General features: G+C 57.4%; 1 protein-coding gene and 1 non-coding gene across 6 annotated transcripts, besides 9 other annotated features; both read left to right on the top strand.

Moving 5' to 3' along the window:
- Positions 1,349 to 2,158: a silencer, noted in NCBI's record as "silent region_3407". NCBI's record gives its function as "represses an Ori minimal core promoter by ATAC-STARR-seq in GM12878 lymphoblastoid cells {active_cell/tissue: GM12878}" and the evidence as "EXISTENCE:reporter gene assay evidence [ECO:0000049][PMID:35858748]".
- FADS3 (fatty acid desaturase 3) lies at positions 1,378 to 20,076 on the top strand. Of its 5 annotated transcripts, none has more exons than XM_017017724.1 (12): positions 1,378 to 1,743; positions 13,451 to 13,561; positions 14,093 to 14,290; positions 14,755 to 14,856; positions 14,968 to 15,090; positions 15,387 to 15,447; positions 16,015 to 16,091; positions 16,639 to 16,736; positions 17,147 to 17,243; positions 17,412 to 17,491; positions 17,626 to 17,751; positions 19,737 to 20,076. In XM_017017724.1, exons 1-12 carry the CDS (start codon positions 1,393 to 1,395, stop codon positions 19,786 to 19,788), a joined length of 1,476 nt encoding a protein of 491 aa, XP_016873213.1. In that variant the 5' UTR covers positions 1,378 to 1,392; the 3' UTR covers positions 19,789 to 20,076. The 5 variants fall into 5 exon arrangements, with proteins under 5 accessions (XP_016873213.1, XP_016873212.1, NP_068373.1 ...); XM_017017723.1 differs by having other exon boundaries at positions 17,599 to 17,751; NM_021727.5 differs by lacking the exon at positions 1,378 to 1,743 and adding an exon at positions 2,057 to 2,433.
- Positions 2,259 to 2,388: a silencer, noted in NCBI's record as "silent region_3406". NCBI's record gives its function as "represses an Ori minimal core promoter by ATAC-STARR-seq in GM12878 lymphoblastoid cells {active_cell/tissue: GM12878}" and the evidence as "EXISTENCE:reporter gene assay evidence [ECO:0000049][PMID:35858748]".
- Positions 2,259 to 3,036: a biological region, named in NCBI's record as "H3K27ac-H3K4me1 hESC enhancer GRCh37_chr11:61658038-61658726".
- Positions 2,348 to 3,036: an enhancer, noted in NCBI's record as "H3K27ac-H3K4me1 hESC enhancer chr11:61658038-61658726 (GRCh37/hg19 assembly coordinates)". NCBI's record gives its function as "activates a minimal SCP1, AML or CMV promoter by ChIP-STARR-seq in primed H9 embryonic stem cells {active_cell/tissue: H9 hESC(primed)}" and the evidence as "EXISTENCE:reporter gene assay evidence [ECO:0000049][PMID:30033119]".
- Positions 2,589 to 2,758: an enhancer, noted in NCBI's record as "active region_4803". NCBI's record gives its function as "activates an Ori minimal core promoter by ATAC-STARR-seq in GM12878 lymphoblastoid cells {active_cell/tissue: GM12878}" and the evidence as "EXISTENCE:reporter gene assay evidence [ECO:0000049][PMID:35858748]".
- Positions 3,037 to 3,726: an enhancer, noted in NCBI's record as "H3K4me1 hESC enhancer chr11:61657348-61658037 (GRCh37/hg19 assembly coordinates)". NCBI's record gives its function as "activates a minimal SCP1, AML or CMV promoter by ChIP-STARR-seq in primed H9 embryonic stem cells {active_cell/tissue: H9 hESC(primed)}" and the evidence as "EXISTENCE:reporter gene assay evidence [ECO:0000049][PMID:30033119]".
- Positions 5,328 to 5,829: an enhancer, noted in NCBI's record as "H3K4me1 hESC enhancer chr11:61655245-61655746 (GRCh37/hg19 assembly coordinates)". NCBI's record gives its function as "activates a minimal SCP1, AML or CMV promoter by ChIP-STARR-seq in naive H9 embryonic stem cells {active_cell/tissue: H9 hESC(naive)}" and the evidence as "EXISTENCE:reporter gene assay evidence [ECO:0000049][PMID:30033119]".
- Positions 13,726 to 14,435: an enhancer, noted in NCBI's record as "H3K27ac-H3K4me1 hESC enhancer chr11:61646639-61647348 (GRCh37/hg19 assembly coordinates)". NCBI's record gives its function as "activates a minimal SCP1, AML or CMV promoter by ChIP-STARR-seq in naive H9 embryonic stem cells {active_cell/tissue: H9 hESC(naive)}" and the evidence as "EXISTENCE:reporter gene assay evidence [ECO:0000049][PMID:30033119]".
- MIR6746 (microRNA 6746) lies at positions 15,324 to 15,386 on the top strand. Its single transcript, NR_106804.1, has one exon. It is a non-coding gene; the product is annotated as a microRNA 6746 (primary transcript).
- Positions 18,377 to 18,925: an enhancer, noted in NCBI's record as "NANOG-H3K4me1 hESC enhancer chr11:61642149-61642697 (GRCh37/hg19 assembly coordinates)". NCBI's record gives its function as "activates a minimal SCP1, AML or CMV promoter by ChIP-STARR-seq in primed H9 embryonic stem cells {active_cell/tissue: H9 hESC(primed)}" and the evidence as "EXISTENCE:reporter gene assay evidence [ECO:0000049][PMID:30033119]".
- Positions 20,077 to 20,912: the final 836 nt, after the last annotated feature.

Genomic DNA, 20,912 nt, shown 5'->3' with positions numbered 1-20,912 from the left:
TTAGCAATGCTGAGCACCTTTTCGTGTGTGTGTTGCCCATTTGTGTGCAGCCCCTCTTTCCTGAGGAGCATTCTGAGGAGCTCCGCCTGGCCTCCACAGTGATCCCTTCGAGGAGGACTTGGCCAATAGGGCTGTGATCCCTGCCCTCACTCACGGCTCTTGCATGATTCTGTGGCCCCCCCTTCATCTTCCCCATCTCTTCTGGGGGCAGCTGGGGAAAGTGGAGGTTCTAACCTATCACAACCCCCAACCACCTCACACACAGGGGCTGAGACCAGGCCAGGGCTGGCTCCAAGGAAGAAGCCCCTAGGATGGCCACATCTGACCACTCAGGGCTGCTGAAGGTGGGGCCAGGGCCAGGTCCATGCCTTCAGTGGATTTTGGTGCAGGGGATGCATTCCTTCAAGAATCTGCCTTCTCCATTCCTGTGCTGTGTGAACATGGTACGGGGTAGGGGTGCCTGCAGCCCCCTTGGGCCAGGGCCACCAGCCATGCTCTTGCACCCCCACACACATGTGCCAGGTTGGGGTTCCAGGATATGGTCAGTGGGTGCCTCAGTGGAGAGGGCCCAGGCAGCCCCGGTGCCTGATGACATCATGGGCCTTGCTGGATGTCCTGACAAGCAAAGGCAGGAGCTCCTGGTACCAGGGAGAACTCGCCCCCTCTGCCCTTCTGGGGATACTGGTCCTCTTTAGACCAAGACAAAATATTAGCATATCAGAGAAATATACTTAGGGTTTTCTAAGTGCATTTCCCCAACCAGCCGGTCAGCATCACCTGTGAACTGGCCATGTAAGTCTCTGCCTCCACACCAGACCCACCGAATAACCCTCCTGGGTGGTTCTGATGGAAGCCTTTCAGGTGGTTCTGATGGAAGATTGACGACCAGCGCTCTGGAAGTAACTTTAGCCTGATTTGAATTCCTTGCTGCTGTGAACGCTTAACTTTTAGGAACAGGTATATTTATCACAAAGAAATCCGAAGCAATTAGGGGAGCTACCTACACTTTCAAAAGGACTTGAATGTATTTAAATTAAAAAAAGCGGATGGGGCCCGGGTGCAGTGGCTCATGCCTGTAATCCCAGCATTTTGGGAGGCGGGAGGGTCACTTGAGTCCAGGAGTTCAAGACCAGCCTGGGCAACATGGCAAGACCCATTTCTACAAAAATAAAATAACACCAAAAATTAGCCGGGTATGATGGGGCGCGCCTGTAGTCCCAGCTGGGGACTCCCGAGACTGAGGTGGGGGTATCTCCTGAGCTTAGGATGTTGAGGCTGCAGTGAGCCGACATCATGCCACTACACTGCAGCCTGGGCGACAGAGTGAGACTCCTGTCTCAAAACAAAAAAGAGGGGCGGGGAAGCAGTAACAAGCACAGGTGTCCTCAGCCCATGGATGGCAGCGCCCGCCTCCACGCGCCAGTGCCCTCCTGCTCCCCTACCTCCCCCTTGGCCACCCCTGGGCATCCCCAGCCCTGCAGCGCCGAGGGCGGAGGGGAGGCCACCCGCCCCCAGCAGAGGGCTCCGAGAGAGCTGCAGCGGCGGTGGGGGCCCCGCAGAGATTGGGGCCCATGGTTTGAAGGCTGTTCACAGGCACCCCGAGACAGCGTCCCCCCTCTGGGCGCACTGGATTTGACGTTGCAGGACGCGCGGCTGGAAGCCCCCCAGGCCCCGCTGCTCACAGACCGGGACTCCGCCTCCGGTTCCCGAGGGCGTGGCGAGGCGCTGCGGGACGCCCAACAGGTGCGTGTTGTGTCCCCAGGCCCCGCGCTCCGGGTGGAGTCAAGAACCTGGAAGCCGGCAGCCCGGGAAAAGGGGGCGGGACGGTGCCCCGGGGCAGGGCTGGGTGGCGGCCGCTGTCCTCCCGGGAGGGGCGGGCCGCCTCGACGCCGCCCTCCCTGGCGGCCAATGGAGACCGAGGCCCCGCGCCTGGATTGGAGCGGACGCGGGGGGTCAGCCAGCCTTGGGGGCCGGGGCCTGGCCGGGGGCGGGGGGGCAGGCGAGGCGAGGCGGGCGCCGTCCGCGCGGTTATAAGGCGGGGAGTTCCCTGCGCCGCGAGCCGGGAGGCGCACGCTCGCTCGTACGGCGGCCGCGGCGGCAGGGCGGGGCCGGAGCAGCGGGCGGCGGCGGAGGCGGCGCCCGGGAGCGCTCTTCGCTTCCCTCGGGGTCTTGCTCGGACCTCGGCCACCGCCTGGGATCCCCAGGACTCGTGCGTGCAGCATGGGCGGCGTCGGGGAGCCGGGACCGCGGGAGGGACCCGCGCAGCCGGGGGCGCCGCTGCCCACCTTCTGCTGGGAGCAGATCCGCGCGCACGACCAGCCCGGCGACAAGTGGCTGGTCATCGAGCGCCGCGTCTACGACATCAGCCGCTGGGCACAGCGGCACCCAGGGGGCAGCCGCCTCATCGGCCACCACGGCGCTGAGGACGCCACGGTAAGGAAGCCATAAGGAAGCCACCCACCGGCGGGTGGAGCCTGGAGCTCGGTCGTGGGCGTGATGTCCCGCTCCACCTGTGGGGCCTTAGCATCCTCCCTCCCCTCGCTGACCTTTGACCTCCACGCCGGGACCCAGAGTTGGGGTGGACTAGCCAGGGCCAGATGTGGGGTAGGGAGGGCAGTTCCCTGCGTGGAGGACCCGCAGCTGTCCACGGAGCAGGTCTGCGGGGGAGGAGGGGGCCTCAGAGGTGGGTGTGTCATGCTGCAGAGCCTGCCCTGGGTGAGGGGCTGCCCTGTTGCTCCCAGGTCCCTGTTTCAGTTCTGGGTCCCCATGCTGGGTGCTTGCTGAGTGCTAGGGGTAGGGCAGGGCAGGGTCCCCAGGGGCCGGTAAGGACATGCCATTAGAGGCTGGGGGCTGGGCCGGCCTGAGGTCTGTGGCTTTCCCAAGAGCTTCTGTAAAGGGCTCAGGGACAGTGACTCACCTCTCCGGGCTAGCAGCTGCACGTGGGAGGGCTTTGCCAGCCAGGCTGGGTGGGCCTCTCCTGGAAGCACAGTCACCCCAGGAACAGGCTGGCCCCTGGGGACCCCAACTTCCCAATCCCAGCCCCTGTCTAGACAGGCAGGGATGTAGCCTGGCCCCAGGGTACTGTCTGGCTGGAGTCCAGTGGTGGAGCAGCCCGACCAGCCCCTTTTCCTTAGTTACCCACCTGCATAATAGGGGTTGGGGCCACGATGCCCTGTCCTTGACCCTCCAAATTTCTAGGTTGGCCACACTGGGTATCAGGAAGGTCTTCAAGACCCGAGGACATGAATCCTGAATGCTGGCTTTTTGGGCAGCAGCGGAGGTTCTGTCCAGTCCCAGGACTGTCGGCGTCCCTCTTGACAGGGCCACCTGCTCTCTGCCGATTGCCATCTCCAGCATGTTGGACAATCTTCACTGGACTCTTTGAGGAAGAAAGCCCCTCTTTTCCCCTTCCACCCCATGAAGCTGAGGAGTGAGAATAAGAATCCTCCTGAAATTCTAAAAAAAGAAAAAAAAAAAAAAGAGAACGCCTTGTCCGTGGCTGTTCAGGCGCCAGACGCTGGCCCGAGGGGACAGCACAGCCGTGGGATGAAGCAGCCTGGGGGCAGTATTTGAGCGTGCAGGTGTTTGCATGTCTGGGTGAGTGTGGTGTGTGTGCCTGCCTTTCTGCCAGGGCGTGGCGAGGTGAGGGGCACGGCTTCTCCCCAAAGGCCTTGCTGAGCCCTGGCCTCCCTTCAAGGAGTCTTGTGGATGCCTGCTCTGGTCTTTTTCTAAAAAAGTATCTATTTTATTTATTATTATTTGTTTAAAAATAGAGACAGGGTCTCACTATGTTGCTCGGGCTGGTCTCAAAGTCCTGGGTTCAAGCATTCCTCCTGCCTCAGCCTCCGAAAGTTCTGGGATTACAGGCATGAGCCACCACTCCCGGCCTGCTCTAGTCTTTTGTAACCTAGAGGACAGTATGGATACAGAAAACTTTACTCCCCACCAACCGCCGGAGACAGAGTCTTGCTCTGCCACCCAGACTGGAGTGCAATGGCGCCATCTTGGCTCACTGCAACCTCCGCCTCCCAGGTTCAAGCGATTCTCCTGCCTCAGCCTCCCGAGTAGCTGGGATTACGGGCACGCGCCACCACGCCCAGCATATTGTATTTTTAGTAGAGACGGGGTTTCACCATGTTGGCCAAGCTGGTCTCGAACTCCTGACCTCGTGATCCACCCACCTCGGCCTCCCAAAGCGCTGGGATTACAGGCGTGAGCCACCACGCCCGGCTGGGATACAGAAAGCTTTTATTTCATCACTGTTTCCTGCCTGGTGCCAGGCCCATGCTGGGGTTCCTCCCAAGTGGAATTACTGACTTAACATTTAGCTTGGGATCCTGAGACTTCCATCACACAGTTTTCTCATTGATTCGCAGCCAATAATATCTGTTTTAAAAACATCTCAGGCCGAGCGCTGTGGCTCACACCTGTAATCCCAGCACTTTGGGAGGCTGAGGTGGGCAGATCACCTGAGGTCGGGAGTTTGAGACCAGCCTGACCAACATGGAGAAACCCTGTCTCTTCTAAAAAAATACAAAATTAGCCAGGCGTGGTGGCGCATGCCTGTAATCCCAGCACTTTGGGAGGCTGAGGCAGGAGAATCGCTTGAACCCAGGAGACGGAGGTTCCGGTGAGCCGAGATCGCGCCATTGCACTCCAGCCTGGGCAACAAGAGCAAAACTCCGTCTCAAACAAACAAACAAAAAACATCTCTCTGCTCCTTGGGGCCGGGTGCCAGCTCTGCTATTGGAGGCACTGAGCGACCTTGAAGCAGGCATGTCACTCCTCTGTGCCCCAGTTTACTCATCTGTAAAGTGGGAGAGCTGGGGCAGACAGTGAGCTGGCTGAGGGCAGGACTGTGTCTCCTCAAGCCCATGGCCCAGGGCTGCCAGGTAGTAGTTTGTATTCGGTAAATGCTGCTGGCCCCTAAGTGTGAGCGTGCCCTGCAAACTGCAGCGTATGGTGGGACAGCCCTGCACGGCTACCCCTTTCCTGGGTGACCTTATTTGGTTACGGTCCTATCTGAAGTAGGAAAGGGACACTTTAGGCTGTCTCTTAGCTCCCTCAAGGCCCCACAGCCTGGACTAGAGTTGCCAGAAATACTTGGTCCATTCAGGCCAAAGGGACTGTGAGGTTGCTGGGATGGTGCAATCAGTCTTTGTCCATGATGAACCCACAGGGTAGACCAGGGGTTGGGCCAGCCCAGTGCCCTGTGTAGTTGAGCCCAGGCCCCAGGCATCCCATCCCGGGCGGTGGCCTCAGGTGGAGGTGGGGCAGCCAGTTGCCAGGGATGTGTTCCAGCGGTCACCTCTCACCAGCCCCGGCTGCCCATCAGCTGTTCTCAAGTCCAGGCAATGAAGCCTTCCTGCCAGGAAATTCCCAGAGTTTCTGTGCCATGAAGTCAGCCTGTGGCCATCTTGGGACACAAGGCCGGGTGCCCTGGGGAGAGTACTCTGGGCCCTTGGCCAGGTTTGTCTGAGAGTCATAGGCAGCCTGATACTAGTGGAGCCAGCCAGGGAGGGATGAGGCCCAGCCGCTGCTGGCCATAAGTATATAAGGGCCATGTGCTGAGTGCCTACTATGTGCCAGGTTTTGAAATCAGTACTTGATTTATTGAAACCCTCTCTTTTAATCCTCAAGGTGCCCCTATGAGGCACGTACCATTTATTGTTATTGCCACTTGACAGATGAGAAAACAGAGGCTCAGAGAGGCAAAGTGGCTTGAAATTCAGTGATTGGTCTGGGATTTGAATCCACAGCCATGTTCTTAAGGGCATGCTATGCTGCCACCTATCCTGTTTATTTCCGGCACTCATTGATTCTTCAATGTTTGACTCATTAAATCCATCAGTGAGCATCTTCTCTGTGTCATGCATGGTTCTCACCTCTGAAGATGTAGCTGTGAGCAAAACTTCTACAGGGAATGAGTTCACAGCAGAGGGATCAGCTAGAGCAAAGGCTCAGAGGTGGGACCGTGCGTCCTGTGTTCCAGGAATACAGTATGGCTGCAGCAGAGAGCAGTGGAGAGAGGGCCTGGCAGTGAGGTCTAGAGGCGGCCGGGCTGGCTCATGCTGGATGTTTGTGTCCTCGGAAGGACTTTGGCTTTATTTTAAAGAGGATGGGGAGCCCCAGAGAGCACAGCAGGGAAGCCTGGGGAGTCTGATGGACATTTAAAAGGATCCTTAATGGAGAGAGTGAAGGCAGAGCCTTCCAGAAGGGTAAGAGAAGGGAGGATGGAGACCTGCCCTCCCCCAAGGGAGGCCACTCAGAAGAGGTAGAGTGTGGCCAGGGCAGAGAGCAAGAGAGGCTGTGGACACAGGCACACTGGTCCAGTGAGAGCCATTAGACACATTAGATTTAGCTTCATGTTGTCTTTAGAGAGGGAGCCAGCCTGGCCTCGCTCTATGATCTTGGACACATCCTTTCACTTCTGGGTCTCAGTTTCCCCATTAGTGTGATGAGGATGAGAATGCTTTTGTCCTGGGCACACTATGAGGGTGGTGCTGGGCACCTGGGTGCCTGGTTACCATGGGCAACAAAGCTCTATTCATGGGTGTGGTGAATGCATTGCCCACAGCAACTCAGGGCGGATGAGGAGTTTCCCAGCAGCCCCTGGTGCCCTTTCGGCTGAAGCCCTAACAACTGTGGGAAAATCCAAGTTCCAGCAGACCCCCTGAGCCCTCTGCCTTAGGACCCTCCTTCTAGGTGGTTCTCTGAGCCTGGCCTGAGCTGGAGGAGGGAGTGGCCAGTGCTGCAGCAGAGGCTGCTTCATAGTAATTGCAGCCAACAGTTATTGACTAGGCACTGTTCTGAGGGGTTTAGATGTGGTAACTGATTGAATTCGCCTAACAACTTTATGAGGTAAGTCCTATTGTTAGCCCATTTTGTAGATGAGGAGACTGAGTTTGAAACTGGGGGGTGTAATGGAACCTTCTCAGGACCCTTGAAGGGTAGGGCCTTTGTACTCGGGCCACGAGGGTGGGGTTTGTGTCTGGGTGGGAGCTGGGGAGGGACAGGACTAGGATTAGGCAGATCTGAGGCCACAGGAGTTGGTTGGGGGGTGGCTCCAGAGCCACTCCACTCCCTCCTACCACATTGACTGCCTTGAAAGTCCCCTAATGGCCACTCCCATGAAGTGTGACTGCTCTGGGCTCCCCGCAGGCGTTTTCTGCAAGGCCACCGCCCACCCAGGCCCCTTCCCCAGAGGGGCTGCAGTGCCTTGCTCCTTCCTTGTGGGAAGAGTTGGGATTGTCTGGCGTCAGCAGGATACTGCCCCTGGGCATCCCTCCCGGTCTCTTCCTGCGGGTTTCTGATGAAACAGCCAGGCTCCAGTAGTGGAGCCAGAGGTCAGTGGTGGAGAGAGGACCAGGAGCCAGAGGGTATAGCTGCTTTGGGGCTACTGTGGGGTCAGGGACACTTGTGAGGCCAAGCGTCCTGGCTGCAGGAGCCCTCACATATATGCCCACCCTTCACCAGGACATTGAGGGGTGCTGGGGGACAGGGGTAGCTTTTTGGGGGTGTCTGCCTTCGACTTGGGCTCCGCTACACAGGCCAAATTTGGATGTCCCATGTTTAGAGCTGTGTTTCTTTGGGACCTCTTGGGGCCTCAGTTTCCTCATCTGTAAAATGGGATACTGATAGTGCTTCCCCACTGGCCTCCTCTGACGGGCGCCAGGGAGAGGATGGGACGGAGCATGGTGTGCTGGGCACGCTCCTGCTGTACCCACCCACCTGGGAGAGGGGAGAGGCAGGAATGTCCTGGGGGTGTCCTTTGAGGCATAGCCCTGTCACCCCAACATCCTACAAAGGCATGAGAAGGCAGCGAGGACAGACCCCGACCACCTGAGCCCTCAGCAGCCCTGCCACACTCCCTGCTTCACCCCCTTCCTGACTGATCTGGCACATTCTTGATTCTCCTAGGGAGTGACCCAAAATCCCTCCCTGCCCTGCTGTGTCTCTGGGGTGGAAGGAGGCTGCCAGCCCCTCCTCTCTCCCAGCCTCAGGCTTGGCCAGGACTTAACAGGCAGGCAGAGAAGCAGCTTCTCCACTCTCTTCCCTGACACCTGTAGGCCCCTCCTGCAGGCACTTACCTCTAAGTGGACTCTCAGGAGGAGGCTCATCAGGGCTGCAGGGCTCAGAAAGAGCTGGGCTGTGGAGCTCTTGCCAACCGCCAGGCCCCTTCTAAGTGCTTTAGCGCCACCGACTGCATCCTCCCAGCAGCCTTGTGAGATGGGGATTTGTGGTTCCCAGTTTACTGATGAGAAATACTGATGAGAGATGGGTGTGGTCTTGTCTGGGGCTCCCTGGCTCCTGGATAGCAGCTCAGGTTCCATCCTGGGCAGGCTGGCTCTGGGACACCCCCCCGACCAGCTGCTGTGTGGGATTCACGGTGGGGCTTGGGCAGGGCGTGGGATCTTGGGGCCAACTGAGCCACTCTAGGCTTCCAGGGACCAAGGCCAGGCTGAGCTGTCTCTGTATCCTGAGAGAGCATGAACATCACAGAAGATGGGCCCGGGTTCGAATCCCAGCTCTGCCACTACTAACTGGGACCTGGGCAGGTGTCCCTTCCCGCTGAGCCTTCATTTCCTCACCAGCAAAATGGTTCGTGCCCCTGCTTTGGGGGCTGTGGAGGGTTGGCTCTTGTCTACTTGTTCATACCTGCTGTTGAGCAGCTGCTCTGTGCCGGCCTCTGAGGATGCCACTGTGAACAGAGCCTGTCGCTACCTCCAGGAGCTTGTGTTTAGGGGTGCCGTTTTGATTCCAGCACTTTCACCCAGCTCTGCTCCGGTACCCGATGAGAGACGTCGAGTGCCGCTTTCCACTCGCTTGGGTGCGTGTGGGGGTTGGGGGGACAGGGCTTTGTGCACGTACCCCTGGGTGGATGTTCCTGGGTGCACTTAGGGTGTGTGAGGGTGGGACCTCCCACAGTTCCCTGAGGCTCCACTGATGAGGTCCAAGAACCGCCTTCCTGCCCCCCAGCCCAGGCTCCCAGCAGCTGGGCCCTTGGCTTCTTGAGATAGTGACTGGCCTCACGGCAAGGACCCCCGCACACCACCTAGGAGAACTGCTGCTTCCCCTCTGTTCCAGGAGTGGCGACAAGCACAGTTTTTCGCTTTTGTTTTTGTTTTCTTCACTTTAAGTTCCGGGAAACGTGCAGAATGTGCAGGTTTGTTACATAGGTATACATGTGCCATGGTGGTTTGCTGCACCCGTCAACCCCTCATCTAGGTTTTAAGCTCCATATACATTAGGCATTTGTCCTAATGCTCTCCCTCCCCTTGCCCCTCACCCGCCCAGTAAGCCCCGGTGTGTGATGTTCCCTTCCCTGTGTCCATGTGTTCTCATTGTTCAACTCTCACTTATGAGTGAGAAGAGACCTGGACTCTGATCTAACCTCGGTCAAATGGAACTGTGTGACCTTGAAGAAGTAGCTTAACCTCTCTGAGTCTTAGCTTCTGCCTGGCACCCCCATCCTTAAGGAGAGGCCCACAGAGGACCAGGTCACATGACCTCAGCCAGTTCCAGAGAAGGCTGTTTGCTTCCAGGTTTCGGCCTGAGTCCAGGCCCCTGCCCTACTCGCACTCCCTGATAGCATGAGAAGCACAGCCCCAGGGTGCCCACCCAGCTCTGAGAGCCCAGCCTGCTTCCCAGGGAACTGTCACAGCCCCACCTGTCCCTTCCCCAGCTGGAGCCCTGTCAATGGCTTTGGGGTTCTCTGACACAGCCCTGAGGGGGCTCACACTTCCCCTTATCATTGCAAGGGGTAGATCTGGCTTGAAGGCCCTGGGGCAGGCTTGGTTCTGTCCTCCCCTGTCAGTGCCTCGACAGGGCTGGCCTGGGTGAATCAGGACCAACGGGAAAGGAGGCGAGGAGACCAATCTGGACCCAAGATCCTCAGCTCAATAAGGTGGCCCCAGAACTGACATGGGGTGATAGAGGGAAGGGCTGGGAGGGAGGAGATTCTGGGGCCGCAGCCACAGCTTGCACGTTGCGCCGGGTGTGTCTGTGCGTGCCAGCTGCATCTTTGCGTACCATGTGTGCAAGGCTGTGTTTGGCTGAGTGTTCATGTGGGCCGTGATTGTGGGCATGTTTCTGAGTGTCTGAGTGATGCCTGCTGGTGTGGGCTGGTGGGTGTGTCTGCATGTGCGTGTGTGTCTGGGGAGTTTCAAAGGAGAAAGAGGGACTCACCATCACGCTGGCTCAGCCTTAAAAAGGTAGGACATCCTGACACGTGCTGCAACATGGATGGACCTTAAGGACATTGTGCTGAGTGAAACAAGCCAGAGGCAAAGGAACAAACATGTGATTTCTCCCAGATGAGGTTTCCGGAGGAGGCAGATCTGTATGGACAGAAGGTAGCATGGTGGTTGCCGGGGCAGGGGGAGGAGAGAATGGAGAATTAGTGTTTAATGGGGACAGAGTTTCAGTTGGGGAAGGTGAAAAGGTTCTGGAGCTGGATGATGGTGATGGTTGGACAACACTGTGCATGCACTTAATACCACTGAGCTGGACACCTAAAAATGCTTACAATGGTAAATTTCATGTATATTTTACTACAATTTTTAAAAAATTGGCTGGGCGTGGTGGCTTATGCCTGTAATCCCAACACTTTGGGAGGCCAAGGCGGGAGGATTGCTTGAGCTCAGGAGTTCAACACCAGCCTGGGCAATATGGTGAAACCCCGACTCTACGAAATATACAAAAATTAGCCTGGTGTGGTGGCTTGCACCTCTAATCCCACCTACTCAGTAGGCTAAGGCACAAGAATCTCTTGAACCTGGGAGGTGGAGGTTGCAGTAAGCCGAGATCATGCCACTGCAACCCAGTCTGGGCGACAGAGCAAGACTCTGTCTCAAAAAATAAAAGATAAATAAAAAAATTAGAGGCCAGGTGTGGCTCACACCTGTACTCTCAACACTTTGGGAGGCTGAGGTGGGAGGATCGCTTGAAGTCAGGCATTTAAGACATGCCTAGGCAACATAGTGAGACCTTGACTCTACAAAAAAATTCAAAAGTTAATGAGACATGGTGGCATGTGCCTGTAGTCCTAGCTGCTGGGGAGGCTGAGGTGGGAGGATCACTTACGACCAGGATTTCAAGGCTGCAGTGAGCTGTGATTGCATCACTGCACTCCAGCCTGGTGACAGAGTGAGGCCCTGTCTCAAAAAAATTTTTCAGTGTTTTTCTGGGCTGGGCGTGGTGGCTCATTCCTGTAATTCCAGCACTTTGGGAGGCTGAGGTGGGTGGATTGCTTGAGCCCAGGAGTTTAAGACCAGCTGGGCAACATGGCAAACCTCATCTCTACAAAAAATAAAAATAAAAAATTAGCTGGGCATGGTGGTGCACACCTGTACTAACAGCTACGAGAGAGGCTAAGGTGGGAGGATCACCTGAGCCCGGGAGGTTGAGGCTGCAGTGAGCCATGATTGCACCACTGCACTCTAGCCTGGGCGATACAGCAAGACCCTATCTCAAAAAAAAAAAAAAAAAAAAAAAAAAAAAACACCCAGTGGGGTCAGTAGAACCCCAAGAGTCTTCTTCCCTCCCAGCTCCCCTGTACACCAGCCCCAGCTCTGCAGGTAGCTGGGGGCCCAGACAGCTTCCTGGGGACCCCCAGCCTTCCCTCTGCCCTTTTTTCTACCAGTTTTGCTGCCCCTCCTTCAAGACTCATGTCCAGAGGGGGTGAGATCTGCACTTATACAGCCCCCTCCTCTGTAATGAGTGAGCCAAGTCAGCCCAGGTTATTCCAGAAGGGGCACCCTACCAGCCCCCCAGTCCCCAAGCTGCCCTGGGCCTATAAAAGCAGGCAAGGGGACCCCTAGTAGATCATGTAGGTGTTACCTCTTAGTGGGTGCTGGAGGGGCCTGAAGTGCTTTCTTCCCCCAGGGTGGTAGGAGAATGTCCTGGCAGTGACTTCAGGGCCCGCTGTCACTTCCGTTTTAAGACTCACCAGCTGGTAGGCTCATTAGCAAGAGGACAATAGGAGGCCCCTGTCCTCAGTCAGCTTTCTTCAAAGGTGTTTCCTTTAGCAACTGGGAGGCCTCCCTTCTCCAGACCCATGGGGACAACACCACCCAGCTACTGGTTCTATAAGCTGCTGTATGGCTCTGGCTAGCCCATTCAGAGAAAGCCTCTGAAAGTACAAGGAAAAAAATCAGTCCAAGAGCTGTGAACAATTAGTGAGCCGATTACAATACCAAGACCACAGGCAGACCTGGAAGGCTAAGTGAGCCCAGGTGTGAAGTTCAAGCTTACTTTACTTCTGGGCCACTTCCTGGCTGGTCTCTTTCCCTGGCCCTTATCTTTCTCCTGGTCTGTCTTCTCTTCTCACCCCCTTTCTTTACTCTTTCTTCCTTCTCCTGCATCGTACTCCACCCCCACTCCAGCTATTACACAGAATCGCGAGAATGTTGGATTATTCATTTTATTTATGATGTTTTCTTTTTTGTAAAAATAGAGACAAGGTCTCACTATGTGGCCCAGGCTGGTCTTGAACTCCTGGCCTCAAGCAATCCTCGTGCCTTGGCCTCTTACAGTGCTGGGATTACAGATGTGAGCCACCATGCCTGGCCCATTTTATTTACTTTAAAAAAAAAATTAGGCTGGGCGCGGTGGCTCACACCTATAATTCCAGCACTTTGGGAGGCCAAGGTGGGCAGATCAACTGAGGTCAGGAGTTAAAGACCAGCTTGGCCACCTGGGGTCAGGAGTTTGAGACCAGCTACTCCGGAGGCTGAGACCGGAGAATTGCTTGAACCCAGGAGGTAGAGGTTGCAATGAACTGAGATCATGCCATTGCATGCCAGCCTGGGCAACAGAGCAAGACTGTCTCAAAAAAAAAAAAAATTATGTTTTGTGCTCCTGCTTCCTGCTTTGTAAGTCAAATCAGTTTAACTGTTCAAGTGTCTTCCTTGCAAACCCCCAAGGACTCAATGTGTGTCGCCCTTGACTGATCCCCCCGCCCCGTGACCCAGTGGTCCTCAGTTCCAGGTTTTCCCACCTACCCTTCACCCACTGCTTATGTTTATAAAAACGGGGTAAATCAAATGTTCGTGACCCAGATCTTATTCTACATGCAGTGGAAACTTGTATGACTTAAGCTTTTTGGAAAAGCAGAACCTTTTTTCGTGGTTCAAGAAATCAAAGTCTTCCCGGGAGGTCTTTCTGTAAATCCAGAGCTGCAGATGTTTGACCGTGTTCAGAGAGGGGCCCTTGTGCTGGGTGAAGTGGATGGGGCACAGCAGGCAATGGGTGAAAAGCAGGACAACCTGGGGCCCTGGGAGGACCAGGGAGGGCCCATGTCTTTGACTGTTCATCAGCCGGCTGACTTCCTGTCCGCCTGTCGTCTGCTCTGCCCATCCATCCGTAGTCCTTCCGCCTGTCTCTGCTGGTTGCCGCTGTGCTACTCAGCTGTGTCTGTCTGTCCGCCTGACTGTCTGCTCTCCTTCAGGATGCCTTCCGTGCCTTCCATCAAGATCTCAATTTTGTGCGCAAGTTCCTACAGCCCCTGTTGATTGGAGAGCTGGCTCCGGAAGAACCCAGCCAGGATGGACCCCTGAATGTGAGCCAGAGCCCTAGGAGAGGCTCAGCCCCTGAGGGAGGGGGATGGCTGGAGGGCTGGGAGACATTGCCACATGGCCAGGAGCAGCTCCCTCGGCATTCGCCCAAGGGGATGCAGAGCCAGGGCTGAGCCTGCCCTCCCCTCCCAGGGGGCAGGCAGTTGAAAGTGAAGCTGTAGGGATGCCCTGAGAAGTCCAGGGCTCCAGATCTGGTTTAGCCAGGCACCCGTTTGGATCCCGAGGCAAGCTCCCTCCCTGTTGTCGCCCAGTGTCCCCATCAAAAGGAGGATTTTGATGAACTGATTTCTCTCCTGGCTGTAGCGTCTTACCCACCCCATACCTTTTGGGAGGGAGAGGAGGCTTCACCACCAGCCAGTGCTCCAGCTCACACCCCGGGCTGGGTACTCTTGTCACTTCATTCCTCTTTGCCCACACCCCTTGGGCCTGGCGATGGGAGGAGCGGCTGGGGCTCCAGGAGAATGGGGGTGGGGAGGAATTTCTTCCTTGGCTGATCGGCCCCTCTGCTATGGCAGGCGCAGCTGGTCGAGGACTTCCGAGCCCTGCACCAGGCAGCCGAGGACATGAAGCTGTTTGATGCCAGTCCCACCTTCTTTGCTTTCCTACTGGGCCACATCCTGGCCATGGAGGTGCTGGCCTGGCTCCTTATCTACCTCCTGGGTCCTGGCTGGGTGCCCAGTGCCCTGGCCGCCTTCATCCTGGCCATCTCTCAGGTGACCCCAGTTCTGTGTTGCAGCCACCTTAACTGCCCAACAGACGTGGGCCCCCATGCATCTGGGCATTGTGAACATATTTGCTAAATGAATGAATGGACCTATGAAAGGATGAATGGATGAATAAACAGATGAATGAGTGAACAGTCTGAAGGCCCATCAGGCATGTCTGTGGGTCAAGCTGCATTCCAGATGAGCCAAGAAGTTCCTTCTTGAACAGATTCCGATCAAGCACAGGGCCACTGAGCCAGAGGCTGCTGCCCTGCAGCTTCATGACACTTACGAGCCCCTCCACCTCCCTGGGACTCAGTTCTCATCTGTAAAAAGAGGACACTGGCCCACAAGGGTCTTGAAATGGAGCATTAGCACGGGGGTACCCTGCAAGCTGAAAGGATTCACTGGGGCCCCAGGCCCTGGCGGGCTCCGTCCTTCCCAACAGCTTCTGACCCTGCCTCTCTCCCCAGGCTCAGTCCTGGTGTCTGCAGCATGACCTGGGCCATGCCTCCATCTTCAAGAAGTCCTGGTGGAACCACGTGGCCCAGAAGTTCGTGATGGGGCAGCTAAAGGTGAGGGTGGGGTGGGTGGTCAGCCAGGTGCTGGGTGGCGCTGGGTCTGCCCAAGTGTGTGGGCACAGTCGGGGGCACAGCCTGCCCTGAGAGCCCCCTCCTCCTCCACAGGGCTTCTCCGCCCACTGGTGGAACTTCCGCCACTTCCAGCACCACGCCAAGCCCAACATCTTCCACAAAGACCCAGACGTGACGGTGGCGCCCGTCTTCCTCCTGGGGGAGTCATCCGTCGAGGTGGGTGGGGAGGGACGTGGACAACCTCTGGCTGGGCCTGCAGCTGAGGGGGAGCTAATGCACTGGGTCCCCACTCTGCCCCTGACCTAGCCCCTGATCTGGCCTCCACTCTGGCTGGGCCAAGCTCTGCCCCCGTGTCTTTCCTTCCCACCTCCCAACCTGCTGGGGACGACCAGCCCGCTTGCTAGAATCTAGAGTTGCCTTTGACCCTTGGCCCCAGCCAGCCCCGTGACCTTGCCCGGGAGAAGGAGGTGGCCTGGAGAGCTGCTGTCTCCAGCCGCCGCCTGTCTCCACAGTATGGCAAGAAGAAACGCAGATACCTACCCTACAACCAGCAGCACCTGTACTTCTTCCTGAGTGAGTGTCCATCTGTCCTTCTGGGGTGGGGGAGTGCCTGGGCCTGCACTGTCCTCCCTGCTGTCCTGGACCACTCCCAGCCACTTCCTGGGGCGGGGCACGTCTGTCAGGTCTCCCTGGTCATGGCATCCTCCCAGCCTCTGCAGTCTGTACACACTCTCCCAGCAGCATGCCTTTGCCCCAGCTGTCTCCCGTGCCTGGGACACCTTGCAGCCACGGGCCATCACAGCCCTGCTGGGAGCTTCCCCAAGCCCCACGTAGAATTTCTTCTTGCCCTCACTAGAGTGGTCCGGAGCCCTAGAGTCTTTGGGCAGTTGTTGGGGCGGACAGAGTGAGGACTCAAGTCTGGCCCTGACTTGCGGTGAAGGGTGGTGGGAGGTGGTGGGGTAAGGGCAGCCTGGGGAGGCTTGGACACAGAATTGGGGGTGATATGGGGTCATTCAGCTGGATGTGACCAGCACCAACGTCCCAGGGGCATTCCTGGAGTAACAGAGCCCCTCACTCTGGCGCCCACTCACCTTGGCAGCCCAGCCCCACTCCTGAACACTCTCATGCCCCTTCTTGCAGTCGGCCCGCCGCTGCTCACCCTGGTGAACTTTGAAGTGGAAAATCTGGCGTACATGCTGGTGTGCATGCAGTGGGCGGTGAGTGGGGTTGCCCAGGACCCCGGGCATACGGCTGCCGTGGCAGGAGGTGGTGCCTCGGGGGACAGTACCTGCCCATGAAGGCAAACAGGGTGCACATGTGCGTGCAACAGTGTGGCTCACATGTATGCGTGCAACAGTGTGGCTCACATGTGTGCGCGCAGCAGGAGAGCGAGTGTGCCCGTGACTGTACGTGTGGTGGGGGGGGGTTGAGGAACAGGGGGGGTGTGGGTCTCTCTCGGTGAGGGTGTCTTCCCAGGAGGAGTTGCTGGGCTGACTCTGCCAGGCATCTGTGTCCCTGGCAGGGTCTTCCCCAACACACCCTGCATGACACCTTCGTCACTAAAATCAGCCTCGTGAGCTGGCAGGGCAAGGACCCTGTTCCTTTACTCAGCTGAGAAAACCAGAGAGGGTGGTGGCCTGTCCTGGGCTCTGAGGCAAATCAGGCAGAAGGGTTGGATGCCTGAGGTCCTCCTCCCACCCACCAGGCCTCCAGACCTCCGGGCACCTGGAGACCTCTCGGTATCGCCTCTGCCCTCCTCTGCAGGATTTGCTCTGGGCCGCCAGCTTCTATGCCCGCTTCTTCTTATCCTACCTCCCCTTCTACGGCGTCCCTGGGGTGCTGCTCTTCTTTGTTGCTGTCAGGTATGGCAGGGAGTGGCGAGGTCACACACAGGCGACAGGTGACCCCCACTGCAGCCCCCCACCAGAGCTTCCCTTTTCCCGTCTGCAGAATGGGGCCAGTGGTACTGCCTCCCTGGCTTGCTGGTGGAATCACATAAACACAAGCGTGGCAGGAGCCCAGGGTCGGTGGGTTTAGGGAGCGTGGCCTGGCTTGTAAGTGGCCCGGTGGGTGTCGGAGCTGCTCTGGACTCAGCCTCACAGTGGACACTGCTCCATTCAGATTCTTTAAACACTGGCAAGGGGGCGATGGCCACAATCCTATTGTACAGATAAGGAAGTCAAGGCCACTTGGGGACAGCTGCTCTCCAGCCTCCACTCAGGGTGCCTAAGTGGTGAGCTGGACCTAGGGCAGTGCCCGAGCCTCCCCACAGGGTCCTGGAAAGCCACTGGTTCGTGTGGATCACACAGATGAACCACATCCCCAAGGAGATCGGCCACGAGAAGCACCGGGACTGGGTCAGCTCTCAGGTGGGCAGCAGGGGTGGGGCCCATCCTGGGTGGGGTGGGGGGTCCCAGCTAGGAGCCAGATGGCAAAGCAGGGATGAGGCCCTGACGGGGCTGCCAGGTGGGGGATGGTGCCGTGGGGTCAGGGATCTGCAACGGCCTCCTCACATGTGCCCCGCCGGCTTCCGGCAGCTGGCAGCCACCTGCAACGTGGAGCCCTCACTTTTCACCAACTGGTTCAGCGGGCACCTCAACTTCCAGATCGAGCACCAGTGAGTGTGGGTGCTGGGGGCCAGTGGGAGGTGGGGAGGGGGTCCTGGGAGGGGATCCTGGGAGGGGACCCGTGGGTGGGGCCTCTCTCTGGAATCTCCCACTTCAGGTGCCAGCATACGCTCCCCACCCCCAGCCTCTTCCCCAGGATGCCGAGACACAACTACAGCCGGGTGGCCCCGCTGGTCAAGTCGCTGTGTGCCAAGCACGGCCTCAGCTACGAAGTGAAGCCCTTCCTCACCGCGCTGGTGGACATCGTCAGGTGAGGCTGCAGCCCGGCCCCTCTGTTCTGGTGGCTTCCCCAGGGCCTATGCCTACCCTTGTCCAGGTCAGCCTCATGCTGAGCCCCCAGGGTCCCTGAGCCTTTCTGTCCACGTCCCATGCCCTTCCTCCCTTCCCCAGCCTTCACGCACACAGTGAGAATTTCTGGAGCACCTACTGCAGACTCACAAACAGCAGTGCCTGCGGTGAGCAGGTCTATGCAAACCTACCCCCAAAGGCTGAGGGAAAGAAGCTAACAGATCCAGTTTCTCAGAAGGAAACACTTAACAGGGACTCATAAACAGAAGCCATGTCTCAGGGCCGGGTGCGGTGGCTCACGCCTGTAATTCCAGCACTTGGGGAGGCTGAGGTGGGCGGATCACTTGAGGTCAGGAGTTCGAGACCAGCCTGGCCAACATGGTGAAACCCCGTCTCTACTAAAAAAAAAAAAAAAAAAAAAAAAAAAAAAAAACAAAAATTAGCTGGGTGTGGTGGCAGGTGCCCATAATCCCAGCTACTTGGGAGGCTGAGGGAGGAGAATCACTTGAACTCGCAGGGGCGGAGGTTGCAGTGAGCTGAGATTGTGCCTTTGCAGTCCAGCCTGGGCAACAGAGCAAGACTCTCTCAAAAACAAACAAAAAAACCATGTCTCAGGCAGCCAAGAGTTGGGACATCCCCTCACACGCCCTCTAGAAAGAACCCTCTATATAGCAAGCTTTTAGGGTGAACCCCATGCAGGTGGTTCTTATGAACCTGGTGACCACTGGAGGTTAGATAAGCGTCTACAAGAGGAGGTTATCTATGCCATGAGCTTGGCATTCAGGGTCAAGCATCGGTCATCAGACAGTTTTGCTTGAAGATGGCATTGCCCTTGTAGCAATGCAGGCTCTAGAGAGCTTCCTGCCCTCTTGGAGCTGATGTTCCTTCCAGCAAAGGAAACAGCAAGCAATTAAAATAACAAATAAGTACATTACAGAAGATGGGCAAAAGAACAATGAAAAGCCCCTCAGGGTGGGGACAGGGGAGGGGAGGGGGGCGGCCAGGCAGGGGCGGCAGTTTCTAAATAGGTGGTAGGGTGGGCAGTATTGACAGGCTGACGTGTGAGCAGGGACAGGGAGGAGGGGAGAGGTCTCGCCACAGGGACATCTGGCAAAGAGCGTTCAGGCAGAGGGCACTTGACCCTGAATGCCAAGCTCATGGCATAGATAGCCGAGGCAGGCATGCAGGCACTCAGAGAAGGGACACGCCCGGCTTGCATCTTGGAAAGCTGCCCCTACTGGGAATGACTGGCGGGCAGGAGTCGAAGTGGAAAAGGAGAGCAGAGGACACTGCAGCCATCCAGGCGAGGGGTGATGGGGCTCAGCCCTTGTGGTCACCTTGGAGGTGGAGAACAGAGGCCAGATTCCAGGTCTTATACCTCTGCGCCTTTGTACACGCTGTTCCCCTTACTTGGTTGCCCTTCCTTCCTGTGCTGGTGTTCAGATGCCCACTTCTCCTTCATGATCTCTCCCAGCCTGATGCTCTGAGCCCCTGCCATTTGGCACAGCCCTTTAGAGCGCCTGGCACAGGGCTTCCTAGCAGATTGTTGACATTTCTGGCTCCACTGACCAATATCAGGCCCAAGATCGGGTGGGCAGGTTCCACGTCCTCTCTGTCCTTGGGTTGCAGCGCCCAGCAGGAGGCAGCAATGGAGAACTGGGTGCAGGAGGGACAGGCCCACCCAGGCTCATGCCTGGACTTGGCCTTGGCTGCCCTCCAGCTCCCCTACCCGACACCCGTCACCCCGGTCTAGATTCCATTCCAGAGAATGAGCATTCAGCTGTTCTCCCAACCCACCCTCCAGCCCGCATCGCTGCCTGCCCCCAGGGAAGGGAACCCACAGGGAATGGGGATCTCCGCTCACACTTACCATGGGGGATACAGGGGTGTTAGGATCTTGCAACTGAGCTCCTAACACCCACCCCCACTGCCACCCCCACCTCCCAGGTCCCTGAAGAAGTCTGGTGACATCTGGCTGGACGCCTACCTCCATCAGTGAAGGCAACACCCAGGCGGGCAGAGAAGGGCTCAGGGCACCAGCAACCAAGCCAGCCCCCGGCGGGATCGATACCCTCACCCCTCCACTGGCCAGCCTGGGGGTGCCCTGCCTGCCCTCCTGGTACTGTTGTCTTCCCCTCGGCCCCCTCACATGTGTATTCAGCAGCCCTATGGCCTTGGCTCTGGGCCTGATGGGACAGGGGTAGAGGGAAGGTGAGCATAGCACATTTTCCTAGAGCGAGAATTGGGGGAAAGCTGTTATTTTTATATTAAAATACATTCAGATGTATTATGGAGTGGAGTGGTGAATTTGCATGAGTTTTGAAGCTGGGGTCTGCCCAGACTCCCCAACAGCATTCAGGCCCTCGGCCATCAATGTGTGTGTTGGGGCCGGCGGCGGGGTTGAGGGGGAGCGCTAAGGAGCTCCCTTTAGCTCTAGATGCCCTGGGCCTGGGAGCCCAGGGATGCCTGGACTCGGACCTGCCCGAGGGCCTATTCACTTCCTATTCATGCTGGGCTTCAAGTCACTTGACGCTTCTGCATGGTGGGATGAGCGGGCCCAGCAGATGAGGACCCAGGGCTGGGGGCCATGTCTGCGGACGCTTCTGGACATGGACTGGGAAAGACGGTTGTGCCTCTTGACCTGCACTGGCCTCCCACAGCCCTCCATGATGGGGGGCCTGAAAGGGCCCCGCGCAGCGGGCCACCTGCTGATCTTAGCGCCACATCTGGCATCACACCAGTGGTGGTGGTGCAGCCTGTGCCCGGTGGCCCAAGGAGGCAACGTCGATCTCCCTCAAGCCCACCTGGGACCAGGTGCTTGTCTGTAGTTACTGCAGTGAATAGGCTGGACCCCCGAGGCATGGCCATTCCTGTCCCTGAGTCCCTGGAGTCAGGTCTTAGGCTCCTTGTCTGGCAGTGGGCTGGACTGTGCCTGTGGGTTTCGGACAGTTCTGGGGAGGGCTTTGAGTTGCCTCTTGGGGCACCCAGAATTGGGAAGAAGATCTGGCTGGACCAATCAGTCCCCAGCATCCACACAGCCTGACAGCTCCAAGCTGAGCTGAGGGTTTCATCTGAAGTGTCGGCAGCTTGAAAAAGAAAGCTGAGTGAGGATTTCTATGAGGC

This window comes from Homo sapiens, chromosome 11 (genome assembly GCF_000001405.40).
Source record: "Homo sapiens chromosome 11, GRCh38.p14 Primary Assembly".
NCBI classification, from domain to species: Eukaryota; Metazoa; Chordata; class Mammalia; order Primates; family Hominidae; genus Homo; species Homo sapiens.
This window is presented reverse-complemented; position numbering and strand designations above follow the sequence as displayed.